Raw genomic sequence first — 6,000 nt, forward strand, 5'->3', positions numbered from 1 at the left:
ACACAATGCTCACATGAACTGCCTGGATTAATTCACCTTTTTGTCTTTCTCTTGCCAAACTCAGCCACACCAGCTTTACCCACTGACGGTGTGATTGCAAAAACCAGGGTGGAGGTCTAAGAACAAAGTGGCCCAACAGATGTAAAATACATGGGGCCAGTTGCTTTATTAGAGAGATGCAAGGGCAATGATGCCGGGCCACAATTATAACTTGCCAAATAGCCCAGTAAGCATTTAAGTACTTTACTATTCCTCTTGGACAGAGGATATATGCGGCCAGACTGTATGTCACCAATGGGTGGCTTATTTTCAGTGCAATAAATATTGAGTGCCTCATATGCCTCATATGCATATTTCATGAATCAATGAATATTTGGTGCATACTCAGTCCTTCTATTCTTTACTATGTTTAAGTGATTTTCTTATTTGTTCCACTGTTTTTGCCAGTTTACCACATAAGTACTCAACTTACTTTTTCTATGTGTCATAAGCTATTGGCTTCTATACTTAGTATTATATATTCTCCTTCCTTTCGCCTCTTATTTTCCATAGCAGAATTAAATATTCCTAAATAATACTGATAACATATTACATGAAAAAAGAAAGAACAGAGTTAGGGAGAAATTTAAAAATATAGCCCACACTAGAAATATAGCTAGTTTCCCCCCAAAGCATTATTTTCTGAGTATCTATTGTCCAAAGATAATTACAATCTGCCTTTTCATTTTGGCTATCTATGTTATTATCAGATTTTGTCCTGATAATACCAACTATAATGAAGATCATCTGTCAGCCAACTAATAACTATTAATGATAGGCTCAGTAGCAGATTTGCCAATCGTGAAATTTCATCAAAATCTTTTTTCTTAAGCAAGGGAAAAAAATTCTACTTCCTTTGTGTCAGTTAACATACCAAAATCCATTTGTTGAGCCAAGCAGAATGAGAAGGGATATTTGAAATTATGTCTTTCTTAACAAACTAATTATAGTGGTAGTCTTGAATCTACCTCTGAACCAGTATGTTGATAACACAAATAACTTCCTGTTATTTGGACTTCTACATTTATTTTTTAATACTTTGTTATATCACTTAGAGGCCTCAAACATTATTACATTATAAATAATTTGGTTGTATAAATTAGTGAAATATAAAAAATTTTAATTTAAGGCTGGGCGCGGTGGCTCATGCCTGTAATCCCCACACTGGGAGGCCAAGGCAGGTGGATCACCTGATGTCAGGAGTTCAAAACCAGCCTGACCAAGATGGTGAAACCTCGTCTCTACTAAAAATACAAAAAATTAGCCGGGCGTGGTGGTGGGCGCCTGTAATCCCAGCTACTTGGGAGGCTGAGGCGGAGAATTGCTTGAACCCGTGAGGCAGCAGTTGCAGTGAGCCGAGATCGCGCCACTGCACTCCAGCCCGGGTGACAGAGTGAGACTCCATCTAAAAAAAAAAAAATTAACGTAAATACATTATTTTACTCATTACACGAACATTTTTAGTACTTTGGTAATATGATTATTTTAGTTGATATGTCAATAAATCAAAACACATTATATTTTTGTATAACTCCAAGAATGCTAAATTTAAACGAAAGTACTCAATAAGCATTGAGTGCCTCATATATATTTAGTGAATCAGAAATATTTGGTATACATTCAGTCCTCCTATTCTTTACTACATATAAGTAATTTTCTCGTTTGTTCCACCATTTTCATCTGTTCACTACATAGACAGGAAAAACAATTGATTTTGAAGTCAGGAAATCTGGATTAACATATTGACTCCAGCTTTAGCTGGCTTACCTTGGGCAAATTACTTAACTTCTTGATACCTAGTTTTCTTCATTTTCTGTGAGGGTTCAATTAAATTACATTAAAAACAATTTTTAAGAGATAGGTCTCACTCTGTCACCCAGGCTGGGGTGCAGTGGCATGATCATAGCTCATTACAGCCTGTACTTCCTAGGTTCAAGTGATCCTCCCACCTCAGCTTCCTGAGTAGCTAGGACTACAGGTGTGCGCCGCCATGCCTAATTTCTTATTTTCTGTAGAGATGGGGTCTCGCTCTGTTGCCCAGGCTGGTCTCAAATGCCTGGTCTCATGTGATCCTCCTGCCTCAGCCTCCCAAAGTGCTGGGATTACATGCCACTGTGAGCCACTGTACCTGATCTAATTGAATGTAACTTTGAAAACATGACTTTCACATAACAGATGCCTAATAAAGATTGGATGAATATGAATCTAGCCCATTGCCTCATATTCCAGATGAAGAAACTGAAACCAAGAGAGGTAAAATGAATGTGTCTAAGGTTATATCCTTGGTTCATGTAAAAGTTTGAACCACAACTCTGGGTTGTGGTGTAATTCCATTCCCTTATTAACCTGTAATCAGATTTTCTTATAAGTCTAGTAAAACATTATGATTTAGATAAGTCACTCACTAAATTTGTTTCCCTACCTGCAAAATTGAAGGGTAATAATTGTCCCCCTACATTCCAGCAATATTAGAAAGGTGAAGAGATAACGCATGGGAGAAACCACAGGGAAAAACATTCTATGTAGCCATATCATTATAAACATAAATTTGAAAAGCATTTAATCTTTAGTAACACTACATTGCAATTACATATATCAGTTTTTTCATCTCTAGATCTCTAAATCCCAACAATGTGAGTGCTGTGAACATTCTTAGACAACAATTCCACCAGCAAGGCAAAGTGGAGAATTGAGTCAATCATACAGAAAAGTCAGGAGAAGGCAAGCCCATATTCTTCACATTTTCTGAGTTTTACAGTACTACTTGTCCAATGAAGTACCTCGATTATCCTCATCCCTTTGTAAGTGAATATCCATCCTTCTGCAGATTAATATACATATATTCTAAGTTCAGCTCAATAAAAGCTTCAGAATGTATGTTGCATGAGAGAGGAAAGCTTTTGTCTTGTTTATTACTGTATTTTCAGGCACTTTCAGTGCCTGGCATGCAATAGACAGTCCATAAATATTTACTGAAAGAGTGAATAAGCAAAAGAATGGATAGTATTTCTCCATTCATCAATTTGAAGGAAACCTCTTAATTATGTAAGCATAAAAAATATAAAGCAAAAAGGTACCCATTGCCTTGAGGGGGTCTTTTTTTTTTTTTTAATAGGTTGACTAAAACTGTTCTTTTTTTTTTTTTTGAGACGGTGTCTTGCTCTGTCACCCAGGCTGGAGTGCAGTGGCGTGATCTCGGCTCACTGCAACCTCCGTCTCCCAGGTTCAAGCAATTCTTCTGCCTCAGCCTCCCAAGTAGCTGGGATTACAGGAATGCGCCACCACGCCCAGCTAATTTTTGTATTTTTAGTAAAAACGGGGTTTTGCCATGTTGGTCAGGCTGACCTCGAACTCCTGACCTCAGGTGATCCACCCACAGCCTCCCAAAGTGCTGGGATTACAGGTATGAGTCACCCCGCCTGGCCTAAAACTGTTCTTTTAAACATCTTTTTAACTTTAGCACAGTCATATGCTCTAACTAAAAAATAATAATAATCTCATACCCTTGCTGAAAATTCCAGACTATTTATAATACTGCCTATTCGACATTGCCTCTTGAATGTTTAAAATGGTCCTCAGACTCAATGTCTCCCAACAGCATCACGATCCTCCCCTGTAAAGCAGTCTTCCTCCAGGATTTCCTATCGTGGTGAAAGGGGTAGGGGAAGTGTCATGTGAGTAAACTTATAGGGGCAAAGGAGATTCTTGGTAGAAGGGATGGAGACTCTGAAGACCAAGACCCTTCTGACATACAGTAGCATTATGTTTCCCTTAAGTAGTCTTGAGGTAGTTCTATTGTGAGTAAATAACGTTTTAGCTGCACTCTGGGAGAGGGAACAGCTTGTGGAAGGATCTTGTAGCTAGAAAGAAAATGGAACATTTGGGAAAATGAGAAAAGACCAGGGCAGTGAAGCACAGGGAAAGAGTGCTATCCAATAAGACTGGTGATATAGAAAAAACTAAGCTCCAGGGAGGCTTATGGCTTTGTTTATTAAGAATGATGTTTTTGGCCAGGCATGGTGACTTATGCCTGTAATCCCAGCACTTTGGGAGGCTGAGGCTGGTGGATCACCTGAGGTCAGGAGGTTGAGACCAGCCTGGCTAACATGGTGAAACCCCGTCTCTACTAAAAATACAAAAAATAGCCAGGCATGATGGCATGCGCCTGTAATTCCCAGCTACTTGGGAGGCTGAGGCAGGAGAATGTCTTGAACCCGGGAGGTGGAGGTTGCAGTGAGCCGAGATCATGCCATTGCACTCCAGCCTGGGCAACAGAGCAAGACTACATCTCAAAAAAAAAAAAAAAAAAGAATATTTTTCACTTTAGTAAAGGTTGGAAGCCATTGAAGGATTTAAAGCAAAGGAAAGAAGACAATAAAAGTTGCATTTTTATATGCCTCTTTCGACTCCTGTGTTGAGATTGGAAGGTGATGAGAGACTGCACAATAATATATTCTGGGAAACCATCAGGAGTCTGTAGCCGTAGATCAGAGATTCAAGCAGCTTCAACTAGAAAGATGGGAATGGACATGAAAAGAAGTGAAAGTGATGACACAGTATTTAAGAAACAAGACTCATTTTCTTGATCGTTTGGATAGAAGACATAAGGGAGGGAAAATGTGAAAAATTACTCCGTTTTTTTCCCTGAGTGGATGTGGATGCCATCCATTCACCATAGCATGATGCTGTTGGGAGATGTTGAGTCTGAGGTCCATTTTAAACATTCAAGAGGCAATGTTGAATAGGTAGTGTTATAAATAGTCTGGAGTTTTCAGCAAGGGTGAGAGATTACTATTATTTTTAGTTAGAGCACATAAACTTTATTTGAAACCATATGTGTGGATGGGATTCCCTAGGTAGAAAAATTAGAGGAGAAAGGAAAAAGGATAAGGTAGCACTTATCCTAAAGAAAGCCCACTTTTTTATTTTTATTTTTATTATTTTTTTGAGATGGAATCTCACTCTGTTACCCAGGCTGGAGTGCAATGGCATGATCTCAGCTCACTGCAACCTCCGCCTTCCCGGTTCAAGCAATTCTCCTGTCTCAGCCCCCCGAGTAACTGGGATTACAGGCGCCCGCCACCACGCCCAGCTAATTTTTATATTTTTAGGTTTCGCCATATTACCCAGGCTGGTCTCAAACTCCTGGCCTCAAGTGATCCTCCTGCCTTGGCCTCCCAAAATGCTGGGATTACAGGCATGATCCACTGCACCCTGCCAAGAAAGCCCACTTTTAAATGCTGGGAGAGGAGAAGGAAATGCAGAGATGGAATAAGAGAAGGTGTTGACAGCAGAGAAAGAATGACAAGAGAACACAGAATGAAACCTAAGTGTGGCATTTCCTTACGAATAACATAGTCAGAAACTAGTGATAAATCCCTGTGATCATTTGATGTTTTCTTCCCTTGCCAAGTTAATGAGAGCACTTACTGTCAAGCAAGATTTCAAAAAACCTTTGTTTATCAAGAACACTATGTATTTTAAATTAACCCCGCTTAAATTGCCTTCAGAAACACCAAAGGAGTTAAACACCAATTTAAACACAAAAGGGGAAGAAAAGGCCAACACGAAAAGCACAAAATCCCCTGTCCTCCATGCCATGCCCAGCTACACTCTGTCCTCCCCACCTCCATCCCCATCTCTGAGCAAATATATCCTTTTACCATTGGTGGCGCAGCTTTTTGTGCAATTGCCTCTGAGTTTTACTAGTAAGTATCGGAATTCCAGCTGACTCCTCTTCAGCTGTTCCAAGAGTCAAAAGAGAATAATTATTTTCTTTGTGTCTCTGCTCAGTTCTCAGGAGACAGAACTAAAAATTTCTTGCCAGATGGCAACTGAGGATGCACTTCTGAGGATTTTACTGTCATCAAGTTATAATGGCGGGATGCCTGAGAAGTCAATCACTGAATCAGGGCCAACTTTTGCCCATTTGTGGCCCTTAAAGATAAATATTTAGTCTAA

The sequence above is a fragment of the Homo sapiens genome, chromosome 4, assembly GCF_000001405.40.
Source record: "Homo sapiens chromosome 4, GRCh38.p14 Primary Assembly".
In the NCBI taxonomy this organism is placed as follows: Eukaryota; Metazoa; Chordata; class Mammalia; order Primates; family Hominidae; genus Homo; species Homo sapiens.